Source organism: Homo sapiens, chromosome 4, assembly GCF_000001405.40.
Source record: "Homo sapiens chromosome 4, GRCh38.p14 Primary Assembly".
NCBI classification, from domain to species: Eukaryota; Metazoa; Chordata; class Mammalia; order Primates; family Hominidae; genus Homo; species Homo sapiens.
The window spans coordinates 107,348,651-107,364,996 of record NC_000004.12 but is presented as its reverse complement, the minus strand read 5'-3'; the positions used below and the strand labels follow the sequence as shown (position 1 = coordinate 107,364,996).

At 36.9% G+C, this 16,346-nt stretch overlaps 1 annotated feature.

Annotated features, from left to right (window-relative positions):
* Positions 10,371 to 10,665: a silencer, noted in NCBI's record as "tiled region #1704; HepG2 Repressive non-DNase unmatched - State 13:Ctcf". NCBI's record gives its function as "represses a minimal TATA promoter and a strong SV40 promoter by Sharpr-MPRA in HepG2 cells {active_cell/tissue: HepG2}" and the evidence as "EXISTENCE:reporter gene assay evidence [ECO:0000049][PMID:27701403]".

Genomic DNA, 16,346 nt, shown 5'->3' with positions numbered 1-16,346 from the left:
CTGCTTGTCTGGTTGCTTGCTAAAGCATAGCAAGAATCACCTTTATTCCAGTTCCTAATAAGTTCTGCATCTCCCTCTGAGGCCACCTCAGCCTGGACTCCATTGTCCATATCACTATTAGCATTTTGGTCAAAGCCATTCAACAAGTCTCTAGGAAGTTCAAAACTTTCTCACATCTTCCTGTCTTCTGAGCCTTCCAAGTCTCTAGGAAGTTCCAAATTTTCCCATATTTTCCTGTCTTCTTCTGAGCTCTCCAAACTGTTCCAACTTCCTCCTGTTACCCAGTTCCAAAGTTTCTTCCACATTTTCAGGTATCTTTATAGTAGTATCCCACTCTCCATGGTACCATTTTACTGTATTAGTCCATTCTCACACTGCTAAAAAAGACATACTCGGCCGGGTGCAGTGGCTCACACCTGTAATTCCAGCACTTTGGGAGGCTGAGGTGGGCAGATCACCTGAGGTCAGGAGTTCAAGACCAGTGTAGGCAACATGGCAAAACCCTGCCTCTACTAAAAAAAAAAAAAAATTAACCGGGCATGGTGGTGTGCACCTGTAATCTCAGCTATCCAGGAGGCTGAGGCAGGACTATCACTGGAACCCAGGAGGCAGAGGCTGCAGTGAGCTGAGATCACACCACTGCACTCCAGCCTGGACGACAGAGCAAGACTCCAACAAAAAAAAAAAAAAAAAAGACATACTCAAGACTGGGTACTTTATAAAGGAAAGAGGTGAAAGAGGTTTAACTGACTCAGTTCAGCATGGCTGGGGAGGCCTCAGGAAACTTACGATCATGGTAGAAGGGGAAGCAAACATATCCTTCTTCACATGATGGCAACAAGGAGAAGGGCAGAGAGAAGGGAGGGAGCCCCTTATAAAACCATCAGATCTTGTGAGAACTCACTCACTATCATGAGAACAGCATGGGGGAAACTGCCCCCATGATTCAATTATCTCCACCTGGCCCTGCCCTTGACATGTGGGGATGATTGCAATTCAAGATGAGATTTGGGTGAGGACACAGCCAAACATAGCCATGTTGCCCAGCTGGTCTTGAACTCATGGGCTCAAGAGATACTACCACCTTGGCCTCCCAAAGTGCTGGGGTTACAGGTGTGAGCCACCATGCCCAGCCCGTGAAGTGACTTTTTAATCTCCTTATTTTCCCCTATCCCATCTCTTCCCCAAAATTAGTTCTTATGTATTTAAACAAACAAACAAATAAAAACAGAACCCCCCAAACAAAACAGGACCCTATGGTTATAGAGGGCTGGTGAGAGACTTCTTTTGAGGACAATGCCATGGTTATACTGTCATCATGTGCTGTATTACTTTAGGCAGAAGAACCCCTCTCTCAAACATTCAATACTTTTTACTTGCTCTTGGCAGAAGGGGAAGTTAGTTACTTTTCACTTCAACAGGTCTCTAGGTGGGTTTGGCTGCATTTCAGTGAATCCCTGCTCCAACACACATGTAATTCAACTTTAGCAATGGGCATAAACACTTTATAGAGTTTTTGAAGTTACTAGGAAGGCTATGCAATATGTAGAATAAGTGGCATAGGAATTTCCCTTTATCACATCCAAAACCAATTCATTCAGAAACCTAAGGCTGCCTGTCATAACTGAACTAGCAATCAGGTCTTGTTTATCTTTCAGACCATCCCTGCCTGAAACTTGTTCTTCCGCCATTCAGCTTTTTCTTATTTCTCACTCCCCTGCAGTCTCCTAGCACCTTGGGTATACCCCCGTCAGAGAGCACTCATCACAAACTATTTGCTGATGTGTCTGCCTTTTCCAAGAAACAATGAATCTTGAAGACAGATCATGATCATTCATCTTTGTGACTCTCAGACATAACATAGCAGGTGCTTGGTAAATGTTTATTGAGTGGACAATACTCCTTTATGTTCAGAATATGGAAACCAAATGAGGTGATGGTTTCAAATAAAAACACAGCAACAACAACAACGACGTTTTTCTCTCCCACTTTCATCACTATTTTCCTTGAGAGAAGGAGTTTCCTTCCTAATATTGCACACTTATTTGTTCAACAGTATTTTCAACATGGCAACTATGCACTACTGTGCAAAAAAAAATCAAAAGCTATAGTTATGTTTACATACAATTTTTATTATAAAGAAGCAGAAGCTGTAAAATATCCAATTAGGACAGAATTTAAAGATAACGTGTAATTGAAAACAGGTGGTAATGAAATTTTTTTACAGTAAATTTTAGCAAATCTCCTTTACCGATTTTTAATTGTCTTCTCAGAAAGGACTTATGTTCTCAAGAGTTATTCTTCTATATTTAATAATTTATCAAACTCATTTATTTATATATTTCATGTATGTTTTCAATAACCTCCTAAGCATAGTGGATTGAGGAATTATGAGGAGAGAAAAGTGTGAAAAAATACATTTTTTCTCAATAAGTATGTAATCTGGTTTGTGAGGTAAAATCCAGAGCATTAATCGATTCAAATATTTATTGACTGCCTATTAGCTATATAGGAATGAGAAGACTCTATAAGATAAAATATTTGTATTTTAGGAGTTTACCATATGGTTGTAAAAGTATGAAAATGAAATACAAACAACTAAAGAAGAGTCAAGAACCAGCTCAATAAACAATGCAAAATGTTGCAAGGCATTTTGTAATTGTCAATGATAGACAGGGCACTGTGTAACTATTTGCAAATTTTTAGCGATTTAGCGACTCTTTGAAGGAACAATTCTGTCTCCCTTTTATAGACACGGGCATACCTTGTTTTACTACACTGCACTTTCTTGTGCTCCACAGACACTGCATTTTTACAAATTGAAGGTTTGTGGCAATCCTGTGTGGAATAAGTCTATTGGCGCCATTTTCCAACAGCATGGGCTCGCTTTGGGACACTATGTCACATTTTGGCATTTCTTGCAGTTTCCAAACTTTTCATTATTATATCTGTTATGGTGATCTGTAATTAGTGATCTTTTATGTTACTATTTTAATTATTTTGGGGCACCATGAACTGTGCCCTTATAAGACAGCGAACTTAATTGATAAATGTTTATGTTCTGAATGCTCCACTGACTTGTTGTTCCCCTGAACAACCTGGTCCTGAGCTTTTCTTCTTTGGGAGGAGGATTTTAATAACTATTTTAATCTCTTTATTTGTTATGGGTCTGTTCAGGCTTTCTATTTCTTCCTGATTCAATATTGGTAGGTTAAAAAATAAACAAGTATTTTTCTTAAAAAGGAGGTACTTGTACTAAATCAGGGATAGACTAAATCAGCATCAATAACCCATTGAGAATAGTTGATGGAGTTGTGAGGAGGGTAAGGTGTGAAGGATCAAAAAACAAATTACATCTTTCCTCAATAAATTTGCAATCTGGAAATTTACATGCTTTACTTTCCCCCCTTGCACTTCCTTAGGCTTTTTGATAATTTCCAACCATCTTCACCACAGACCCATTTTCCAGTCTCAGAACTCTGCTCAACTTAGCATGCCGGGAGGATGCTGTCAATTGAAATAGCTCTTGAAATGAAGGTGTTTATCACCACTGGACTAGATTATTGCTTTCCAGGTTTAAACATTTTCTATGATTATATGATTCATTGCTTAACAAATGTTTGCTCTGGTCACCCCATCATAATATTACTTTAAGCCATTACCCCTTGTTCTGTAGGATATGTAATGTTTTCCATCAGTTATCCTAGATTCCTGGGAGCTTGCATTTCCATGATCACCTCTACAAGAAGTTCCTGCTTTAGGGGAACTCCTGCTCTTAATACGTTTATCAGATCCGGAGACAATTGGCTTCTCTAAGCTCTGGGCTCTCCAGGGGGTATAATTCAATCTGTTTTCTTGATTTCCCAACCCTGACCCCCTATTGTTTAATAACATATTTAGATGTTAGAGTTTTCATTGAAAGTTTGAGATGATAGGGAAAGGCTTTACATTATGACAATGCAGTCGTTGTGCTTTTTAAAGTAGCTGCCCATTTATAACTAATCCTAGTTTTCTTTCAAATAACACTATACCACTTCAGAGGTAATGAATCTAGCCATGTTCTTATATTTAAAATGGGTTTCTTGTGGAGAACATAAAATGCAATCACTTAAAACTTAATATCAAACATCCCTAATTATTATTTTAGTGATATTCCTGGAACATCTGCTTTGTGACAGGCATTGTCCTGGGTGTGGGGTTTCAAAAGTAAAGGAATACAATTTTAAAACCCTTCTCATGCTCTGACATTTCTCATTTTTCTATGTTGCTTTCAGCCTCCTGCCATTTTTGGGTCCATGCCCTCTTTTAACACTCATTCTTCTCATCTGTCAATTTCTCTCTCTTATATTTCCCTACAGTAACTACTCTTCCAAACTCAGTTCCAGTCTTCATTAAAACAGTTCTGCTCTCCAGGCCCTATCAGGCTTGGTATAATCAGAGGGTCAACAATATGTCCTGTTAAGCAGAGTGCCACGTCATCTAGTCCCTCTGGCAGAAACATTGAGAGTTCACTGTTTTCTTCTTTCTTCTGCCAATCTCCTTAATTGGTAGGAAGTAAATGTAGAGACATATCTTCCTACCAACATGAATTATGCTAGTCAGCTCTGAAGACAGAAGAACCTATAATAAATTTTGGGTTTAAATAATATTTTTAAAATCTAACTTCTTTAATAAAAACCTGGTACAAAAAGATTATTTTAGATTTATATGGGATGGAGAGAAATGAGAGACTAAAGAAAGATAACACATTTTTATACTAATTTAGAGTAAGGTTATATAAAAATCCAAGTGTTACAGGTATGCAAGAATTACTCAAGGATGTTTATTGTGTTATGATTCATAGTGGCAGCAAACTGGAAGCATCCTGAGTATTCATCAAGGGGGAAAAGATTAATAAATTATGTATATTTATACTATGGATAATATTAAAGTATTTAAAAAATATATTAGGCTTATATATGTTGACTAGAGAGATGCTCTAGTGTTTAGTTAGTGAAATACTCATTTTGGTCAAAATAGTCAAGGACAGGAACCGCTAATTATAAATTCATATGTTTGTATATATTTAAATGTGCATGGAAAACTACTAAAGCAATATAAAACAATGTTGATATCACTGACCATCTGGCAAGGAGGTGGTTTGGAAATAAGGAATAGAAAGGAGGTAGAGAAGAGAGATGATTACTTTTTTCTTTAAACATATTATTTTATCAGTTATAATAAATAAGCATTACTTTACAATTTTAGAAGAGAATGTTAAAATCATTTCTGGAAATGATATCAGGTTCTATGCAAAAGTAAAATGATATTGGAAAGAAGTGATTGATACAAGAGGTGTCATTAAAAAACAATACTTTTGTATTTAGATTAGATATGAGGCATTCCAATAAGAAAAACAAATCACTTACAGGTGAAGTTGTAGAACTTCAAGCACCAGATTACAATTAGACAGAAATTTTTGAGCAATTATATTAAAGAGCAGGCTTAACAATGAAATTCATTTTAAACATGACATATCTTATTCTTTCTCAAAATATTAAAGCATGCAATACAATGTCAGTATATTTCTAATCACATGATAAATTTAGCTGATGTAGACAATTTTTCTCTCCACAAACATGGTGAAATGCTGGATAAATGTGATGTAATTTTTAATAAATTATACAAAGCAGCTTGAAAAACAGAAAGAGAAATCTCCAGGTGACAGAACAGAAGAGAGGATTCAAATCCAGAAAAGCAAGTGAAAGTAGGCCCTTTGACTACTCGGGGATTATGGAAGGAATATATATAAAGGGCTTTTCATACCCACTAGGGAAAAAAGATGTGGCCATAGGTCTATTCAAGCTGGAAAGCTGGAATTGAGTCCTCTGAATAAAGTCCAGAGTCTTGAAGGGTTACCAAGTTATTTATTTAAAGGAATCTAGATGTATCTGCTTAATGGCCTGGAGAAATGAAAAGGTCACTTGCTATCTATTGGAGGTCATGAATGAATAAATAAGTCAATCGCAATTAATCAAAGTTCTATACCCATGAGACCTAAAAGGCTTACAATTTAATGACCTGCAAAGGTTAGGAAACAGAACAAAGAAATTAATATTAAAGCTAGTTTAGGACTGTGTAAACTCTACAGCAACACTGCACAATAGAACTTTTGTGATATGGAAATGTTTTGTATCTGCAGTATCTAATATGGTAACTACTGGTCCTATGTGGCTATTGAACACTTAATGTGTCTAGTGAGATTGCAAAACTAAATTTTAAATTTTATTTAATTTTAATTAATTTCTATTTTAAAATTTACATATGGCTACTGGCTATTATATTGTAACCCTAGAGCCTAGCAGAAAAAAATGAGGAATAATTCTGTGGGTACATGTATATAAACTAAAGCAAATGCAGCTACCACAGGACAGAGTATTAGTGTCTTAAAGAACTCGAGAAAAGACCCACTGTAGTGGAATACCAGGAAATATTATATCCAGGAGATTAGCCTTCCCAAAACTGAAGATTTAAAAAAATAAAAATCTAAAAAAGACGATAATATAAGTAGATTTAAAAGGATTATGGAGATAAAAGAATACAAAATAAAAAATTGAATTAAAATTAATAACAAAATATTAGGAGTGCTTGAAAAACTGTAAGCAGTTTTTTTTTTTTTTTTTTAAATTGAAAAAGTAAAAAATATTTATTATTACATTTTAAAATAAAACAACAAACCTGTTGCATGTTAACATAAATAATACTTTTGTGAAAATAATTATATTTTATAAAACAAGTACATAATGAAAAGAGTGGTATTACTTTATATTTTTGCAAATCTCTTTAATGTCTAGGCTTGATAAAAGACAACTGAATTCTGCTATCTGCTTCTACATTCAATTTATTATGATACATTGTTTTTGTGGAAATATAAGAAAATCTAGCCTCACAGATATACATAGTTGAAAATAAAGGCCTCTTCAGATAATTGTGGAAATTCTTTTCTGATATTATATCAGAACTGGACAAGTGGCAGTTTTTTAAAAATAATACTTTTTTCTGGCGTTATTGAGGTACAATTTACAAATGAAAATTGTATATATTGAAGACATACAACATGACGATTTGGTATGCATTGTGAAATGATTACCACAGTCGAATTAACATGTCCATCACCTCACATAGTAACTATTTTTTTGTGTGTGTGGTGGTGACACTAGAGATCTATTCTCAGCAAATTTCAGGTTTACAATACAGTACTATTAACTATTAACTAGAGTACATCCTGTACTCTAGAATCCCAGAAATTACTCATCTTATAAGCAAAAGTTTGTACCCTTTGATCAACATCTCAGCATTCCCCCACTCCTAGCCCCTGGCAATCACCCTTCTACTCTCTCTCTGAGTTCCAATTATTACTGTATTTTGAATTTTACCAGTAAAAATGTTGTGGATCTTTATTTTTTCTCTAGTTTTATAAATACCTACATAGTAGCCTCAATTTTGCTTCTTGACTTGCAACACCAGAAATATGTACTATCTAGCCCTTTGCAGCAAAAACTTGCCAGCCCTGTTCTTTTCTCTTCTTTTCCTTTCTTTTCTTTTCTTTTCTTTCTTTTCTTTCTTTCTTTTTTTTTGTTTTATCTTAACAAAGATGCTTTTCTCTTTTATTTTATTTTATTTTATTATTATTATACTTTAAGTTTTACGGTACATGTGCACAACGTGCAGGTTAGTTACATATGTATACATGTGCCATGTTGGTGTGCTGCACCCATTAACTCGTCATTTAGCATTAGGTATATCTCCTAATGCTATCCCTCCCCCCTCCCCCCACCCCACAACAGTCCCCGGTGTGTGATGTTCCCCTTCCTGTGTCCATGTGTTCTCATTGTTCAATTCCCACCTATGAGTGAGAACATGTGGTGTTTGGTTTTTTGTCCTTGTGATAGTTTGCTGAGAATGACGGTTTCCAGCTTCATCCATGTCCCTACAAAGGACATGAACTCATCATTTTTTATGGCTGCATAGTATTCCATGGTGTATATGTGCCACATTTTCTTAATCCAGTCTCTCATTGTTGGACATTTGGGTCGGTTCCAAGTCTTTGCTATTGTGAATAGTGCCACAGTAAACATACATGTGCATGTGTCTTCATAGCAGCATGATTTATAATCCTTTGGGTATATACCCAGTAATGGGATGGCTGGGTCAAATGGTATTTCTAGTTCTAGATCCCTGAGGAATCGCCACACTGACTTCCACAATGGTTGAACTAGTTTACAGTTCCACCAACAGTGTAAAAGTGTTCCTATTTCTCCACATCCTCTCCAGCACCTGTTGTTTCCTGACTTTTTTTTATTTATTTTTTTTATTTATTTTTTATTTTTTATTTTTTTTTATTATACTCTAAGTTTTAGGGTACATGTGCACATTGTGCAGGTTAGTTACATATGTATACATGTGCCATGCTGGTGCGCTGCACCCACTAATGTGTCATCTAGCATTAGGTATATCTCCCAATGCTATCCCTCCCCCCTCCCCCGACCCCACCACAGTCCCCAGAGTGTGATATTCCCCTTCCTGTGTCCATGTGATCTCATTGTTCAATTCCCACCTATGAGTGAGAATATGCGGTGTTTGGTTTTTTGTTCTTGCGATAGTTTACTGAGAATGATGGTTTCCAATTTCATCCATGTCCCTACAAAGGATATGAACTCATCATTTTTTATGGCTGCATAGTATTCCATGGTGTATATGTGCCACATTTTCTTAATCCAGTCTATCATTGTTGGACATTTGGGTTGGTTCCAAGTCTTTGCTATTGTGAATAGTGCCGCAATAAACATACGTGTGCATGTGTCTTTATAGCAGCATGATTTATACTCATTTGGGTATATACCCAGTAATGGGATGGCTGGGTCAAATGGTATTTCTAGTTCTAGATCCCTGAGGAATCGCCACACTGACTTCCACAATGGTTGAACTAGTTTACAGTCCCACCAACAGTGTAAAAGTGTTCCTATTTCTCCGCATCCTCTCCAGCACCTGTTGTTTCCTGACTTTTTAATGATTGCCATTCTAACTGGTGTGAGATGATATCTCATAGTGGTTTTGATTTGCATTTCTCTGATGGCCAGTGATGATGAGCATTTCTTCATGTGTTTTTTGGCTGCATAAATGTCTTCTTTTGAGAAGTGTCTGTTCATGTCCTTCGCCCACTTTTTGATGGGGTTGTTTGTTTTTTTCTTGTAAATTTGTTTGAGTTCATTGTAGATTCTGGATATTAGCCCTTTGTCAGATGAGTAGGTTGCAAAAATTTTCTCCCATGTTGTAGGTTGCCTGTTCACTCTGATGGTAGTTTCTTTTGCTGTGCAGAAGCTCTTTAGTTTAATTAGATCCCATTTGTCAATTTTGTCTTTTGTTGCCATTGCTTTTGGTGTTTTGGACATGAAGTCCTTGCCCACGCCTATGTTTTGAAAATAGAACCAAATTGAACTTCTAGATATAAAAATATAATCACAAAAATAAGTTAATTGGATGGGATGAATAGCATATTAATGTCAATTAAAATGAGAATCAGAGAACTGAAAGATGGAGTTGAGTAAACCTCTCAGAATCTAGCAGAGAGAGATAAAATGATTAAAAAATTATAAAAAATGTTAAAAGATAAAGAAGATAAAGAGATAGAATGAGATATTCCAGAAGAGAAAATAAAGGATAAAAGGGAGAAAAAGTATTCTAAGAGATAATAGTTGGGGAGTTTTCAGAATTAAAGAAATACATGAACCCTGATATTGAAAGAGCATAATTGATCCTCAGCAGCAAAAACAAAACAATACCAAACCCGAAATGTAAATAACCAAACAAAAAATACAACCCATACCATCATGCATTATAGTGAGATGAAAATCTTTTTTCCAAAAAAAAGCCCAAAAATTCAGATAGAAAAAGATATTTCTTCTAGAGAGGAATATAATTAGGCTGACAGCAGACTTCTCATCAACAACACCAACACTAGGAATTGGATGAAAATGAAATAATATATTTAAAGTACTGAGGAAAAGTAACCATCAATCTAGAATTCTAAACCCACCCAAAACAATCATTCCAGACTAACGGCAAAATAAACAACATTTAATTTTGTTTTTGAGGGGATTTGTCAAAGACCTGCAAATCTACTAAAGGATGTTCTTCATTCAGAATGTGTGTGCGGCAAGCCACCCAGGTGCCAAGGCAAGAGACCGACGGCATGAGCTGTTCCAGTGTAATAAAGAAAATATATAAAATAAGAATAGTTATACTAGATATAGATCATAGATATGATTATATATGAATATCATTAATCATTAGTTTGTAGAAATTACTCTTTATTCCAATATTATAATAATCCTTGCTCTACAATCATAACCTAGGAAAAACCAGGCCATACAGAGATAGGGACATGGTGAGAAGTGACCAGAAGACAAGAGTGAGCCTTCTGTCATGCCCGGATAGGGCCACTAGAGGTCTCCTTGGTCTAGCGGTAACACCAGCGTCTGGGAAGACGCCCGTTGCCAAGCGGACTATGGTCTAGCGGTAGTGTCAGTGCCAAGGAAAAACAGCCGCTACTTAGCAGACCGGGAAAGGGAGTCCCCCTTTCCCTGGGGGAGTTTAGAGAAGATTCTAATCCACCACCTCTTGTGGAGGGCCTGACATCAGTCAGGCCCGCCCGCAGTTATCCGGAGGCCTAACCATCTCCCTGTGATGCTGTGCTTCATTGGTCATGCTCCTGGTCCGTTTTCATGTTCCATTCTGTACACTTGGCTCTGCCTTCTAGATAGGAGTAGCAAAATTAGTGAAAGTACTAAAAGTCTCTGATATGCAGAAATAAATGGCATAAGCTGTCTTCTCTCTCTCCGCCTCAGCTGCCAAATAGGGAAGGGCCCACTGTCCAGTGGACACGTGACTCACGTGACCTTATCAGTCATTGGAGATGACTCACACTCTTTACCCTGCCCCTTTTGCTTTGTATCAAATAAATAACAGTGCAGCCAGGCATTTGGGGCCACTACCGGTCTCTGCATCTTGGTGGTAGTGGTACCCCAGGCCCAGCTGTCTTTTCTTTTATCTCTTTGTCTTGTGTCTATTTCTATGATCTCTCTTCTCCGCACACAGGGAGAAAAACCCACTGAACCTGTGGGGCTGGTCCCTACAAGAATGAAATCAATAAAGCAGTAGAGTGCAAAGAACTACGTCATGTAAAAAAAGTGTAATCCAAATAAACGTTGACAAAAATATGATGAAATAATGTCTAACTAGCATGACATTAACAAATTGAACTGGAATGATAAATGACAATAATATGGAATTTGAGAGGTAGTGTTTAAAATCAAACACTCCAAGGACCTTGCATTGTATGAAAGAAGGTGTGAAACAGAAATAGCTTACATAACTCAAAACCAATAGGAGTAAAGTTAGATTAAAGAAAATTGGTTGAATCCAGTAGAAGTTCTGATTTATGAGTATCAGGAACTGCAGTCCTGTGCATGATGCCTTTTTACCTCCACATAGCTGCATAAGAATGGCCTTGGGTCTGGAACACTTCCATACCAAGAGTGCAAAGAGTGATCCCATGGTGAGGGAGGAAGCCACTGGGAGGCCCTAGGTGCTTTTTACCTACCAGTTCTCAAGGGGAACTAATAGAGGGAGAACTCATTCACCCTGAGAAAGAACATTAATATATTCATGGGGGATCCACCCCCAGAACCCAAACACCTCCCAGCAGGCCTTCCCTCTCAACATTGCCACATTGGGGACCAAATTTCCACATGAGGTTTGGAGGTGCAAAGGCCCAAACCGTAGCACATACACACAAACTGAAAGTATAATAATAAGAAAAAGATACCATTTACAACAGCAAAAAAAAAAAAAAAAAAAAAAAAAGCAAGATATCTAGGAGTAAATCTTACAACATATATTGAATACCTGCATGGAGTTACAACTTTAATAAAGATATTGAAGAAACCTAAGTAAATGGAGAGATACATCATGTTCACGAGTAGATATCAGAAAGACGTTAATTCTTTCCCTTGTGATCTATTCAGTAGAAGAACCATATGAAATTGTCATCTTTGTAGGTGAAAAACAGTTTAATGTTAATGTCAAAAGATTTAAACTAGTATCTAGTAATTACAATTCTAATTCACATATAAATAGAGGTTTTATAGGAAATTAACACATTGATTCTATAATGTCTATGAAAGAGCAAAGACCTGGGGATAGTCAAGACATTGCTGAACAAGTGTCACAAGACAAGTGGATTTGCTGTATCAGGTATTATAACTTATTATCTAATATTTTTAATTAAGATAGTGTGGCACTGACCTAGGGAAAGACAACTAATTAACAGGACATCATTGAGAGCTACCAAAGAATCCTATGCTTATACATCTGTGTGTAACAGATTTCATCACAGATGCCTGAGCAATGGTGCACTGTTCAAGAATGGTAAGGGACAATCTAAAAACTGTGTTAACAATTAGATCTCAAATCTGTAGACAATACTAAGCTTTTTAAAGCAAGAAGAAATGATGATCTATGGAAATTATAGAAAGGGCTTTCATGGCCATTGATGTAATCACCCAACAGGTTCACCTTGCCTCCTGCTAGACAAGAGCCAATTTATCAAGACAGGGGAATTGCAATGGAGAAAGAGTAATTCACATATTACTGGCTGTGTGGGAGACTGGAATTTTATTATTACTCAAATTAGTCTCCCTGAAAACTTGGGGATCAGAGTTTTTAAGGATAATTTGGCAGATAGGAGCTTGGGAAGTGAGGTTGCTGATTGATTGGGTTGGAGATGAAATCATAGGTGGTCGAAATGAGTTCTTTCTTGCTGACTTCTGTTCCTGGGTGGGATTGCAGAAGTGGTTGAGCCAGATTACTGGTCTGGGTGGTGTCATCTGCTGCATTGGAATGCAGAGTCTGCAAAATATCTCAAGCACTGATCTTAGGTTTTGCAACAGTGATGTTACCCCCAGCAGCAATTTGGGGAGGTTCAGACTCTTGCAGCTGAAGGCTGCATGGCCCCTACACCATAATTTCTAATCTTGTAGCTAATTTGTTAGTCCTACACAGCCAGACTGGTCTCCGGGCAAGAAGGATTTTTTCCCCCCTTGGGAAAGGGCTATTACCAATTTTGTTTCAGAGTCTGAACTGTAAACTAAATTCCTTCCCAAGGCTAGTTCAATCTATGCCCAGGAATGAACAAGGACAGCTTAAAGGTGAGAAGCAAGGTGGGGTTGGTTTGGTCTCATCTCTTTCACTGTCATAATTTCCTCAGGTATGATTTTTGCAAAGGTAGTTTCATTGATGCAAGAGTGGTAGATGAGTTTCATATTTGTTTAATATCTGCCTATCCCATGGCACAGAAGCTATCCTTTAGTGTCCAGGTCTGGATCAGGCACACATAAATTTCTTGTTTTTTAAAATTTTTTAAAATTTTTTAATTTTTTTAATTTTCTGAGCCCTCTTTCCTAGACTTCATGTTTGTGGGCTTCAGGCCCATGGATGTGTCAGAGGCATTCTAACCAGAGTGACTCCATCTTGAGTGAGAGCTAGGACAATGAGGCTGGGGCTTGCTGGGCTGCATTCCCAGAAAGTTAGGTATTCCTAGCCTCTAGATGTTTATGGTTAAGAGAACAGATTGATAATGTTTACTAAACAGACTCAGACTTGGGAGTGTTCTGATACCCTGATACCTTGAGAACAGAAGCATTCCTACTTTTGCTTTAAAGATAACAATATCAATTCTTGCAAAATACAGAAATTAAGAAAATTAATCCTTTATCACAAACTTTTGTAGCAGAACACATCTCCCCATGATCTTTTTTAAAAAATCTTATATAGAAACAAGTATTGTATCTAGGGTGGACACATTCCTCCTCTTACTTTTGGGAATGCCCTACTCTGTCTATGGAGTAGCTGTTCTTTCACTACTTTACTTTCTTAATAAACTTGCTTTTGCTTTGTACTGTGGACTCAACTTGAATTCTTTCTTATGCAAGATCTAAGTACTCTCTCTTGGGGTCTGGATCAGGACCCCTTTCCTGTAACAGATATATTGGGAAGTAGGGATAGATCCAGGTTGCAAGATACATAAAAAGCTTTTGATAGACTTTCAAGGAATAGGCTCTAAACACACTTAGTTCAGGTTTCAGCTCAGAATGTTCTGGGCCCATCACAGTCCAGCACATCTATCTTCTCGAGTGCATAACTAACTGGAGGTTCACTTTTGTAAGTGAATATCAGATGTTCTTTGAAAAGTGAATCTGGTGCAATAAATATCTTACAAAATAATTCCAAGGGAAAATAAAATATTTTGTTGTTATTTGCTCTCTAGAAATAAATATTAAATAATAAAGTTGAGCTCACTGGGATGATGTCTCTGAAATCTTAAACCAGCTCATTAATAGAAGTGCTTTAGGGGGCTAATGGAGTAAAGAATCTTTTGTCTATTTGGATACCATAAAAGGTTGTACAATTATATTGTAATATTATATTGTTAGCAATGTAAATGAGGTAGCTAAGAAAGTAAATAATTTAAAAGCATTTGATAAAAATTAAGATGCCAACAAATATTATTACTGTGGATCCAATCACAGCTGAGTAGTTTCAAGCAAAAAGAGACTTTCCAATCTCTACAAAGGAATCTGTACCAATTACCCTACATGAAGCCAAATATTTGTATCAACTATCTCACATGATCTGTCCAAACATCTGGACTATGCATCAACAGTTTAGATATGAAATTTGCATTCAAAAAATTATTACAATCTAGGTGTTTAAATCTCAAGCTAAATATAGTTCCTCAACTAAACAACCCATCCAAGAGTATGTAACAGAATTAAGATTTCAAATTTACCACAAATCCCAGAAGTTTACATCCCCCAAATAAATGCATTCCATTCAAAAGCAAACAAAAATAGATTTTCAATATAAGTCCTTTGAGTTTCAAAAAACCCCACCAAACCAAGTAAGTACTTAATCATGCAAATCAACTGCTTTCAAGGAGAAGCCCAGTAAGCAGCATGCATGGATGACAATGAGAAAAGCAGAGACTGTTTTCATTTTCTCAGCAGGATAGATTTCTCACACTACAGATCAAACCCCCCACCCCAACCCTTTTTCCATCTATACATCTTGAAAAGAGACATATAAAAAACTTTTAAAAAAGACATTTTAAATGAAGTAGGTTTCAACTAAATTTCTTTTCCTGTGGCCTCTGAGTTAGCATTAAACAGATCAGTTGTGGTAAAGTAGATATAGGCAAATAGTTGCGTTCCTGAATGTGGTGGCCAATATGATTCAGTCATTGGGAAAAATTCTGGAGTCTTAGAAATGGATATAGAGGGTTATGTTCATCGATGTGGCCAAAGTCTGCCACTACTGAGTGCATTGCTAATCTATTTAGTTACTGAAAAGTAGTATTAGGCTCTGATTGTTCAGATTCCAGAATGAAGAGAGGAGACAGGAAGAGAGGGCTGTCTGTGGTTGGAACTATGACTGATTCTTAAGATAGCAGTGCTAATGAAAGCCCAAGCTATGCCTTTGGGGGCTGTGGGGGAGGGGAGTGTTCCATTTAGAAGGCACATCATGGATAAAGGCCTTATATGGGCATAGATGATGGGGACTAAGGTAGTAGAGAAGAAGTGAGTTAGATACATTTTCCCTGCTTGGGGTATGATACTCCCTGGAGATTTTTAGGACAGAGAATTAAGAAGGCAAATAAAGAATTTAATAGGTGTACTGTATGTTTGAATTCAGTTTAATTTTTAGAGAAATGCAAATAAAATTTTTGAGTTGTTTCTAAATTTATTTTATGGTCAGCACAAAATTTTGTTGAATGTGACCCTACTCCAGAACTCCACTACAAAGATTTCCAAGTACATAAGGAATTTTCATTCTGCATAATGATGAGGAACCTGGCAGGTCAGTGTAACTTGCTGTAAGGTCCTTAGAGAAGGCTTCTACAAGACTGGCTTGATCTCAACAATGCAATGCAACGAGCAGACCACACCTCAGTCACTATGCAGCTATGGTGAATTTTGATTGGAAGATCATTTGCAAACATTCTATCCCATAAGACAAGGAAATCCCTTAGAGGCTTTGAGAAAGCTGGCAAGGGAATCAAGTAGTTATTACTCTGTGTTTCATCTTAGCAAGAAAAAATGTTGAGAAGAAAAAACTTTGGACTTAAAGTCAGGAACACACTACCCTCACAACCAGAGAAGTAATAACATTGAGTAACAACCTATAAAACTTAGGCGCACCACTTAACTGCCCAGTGGGTGCACATTGCCTGCTGCGTACACAGAGCCTAT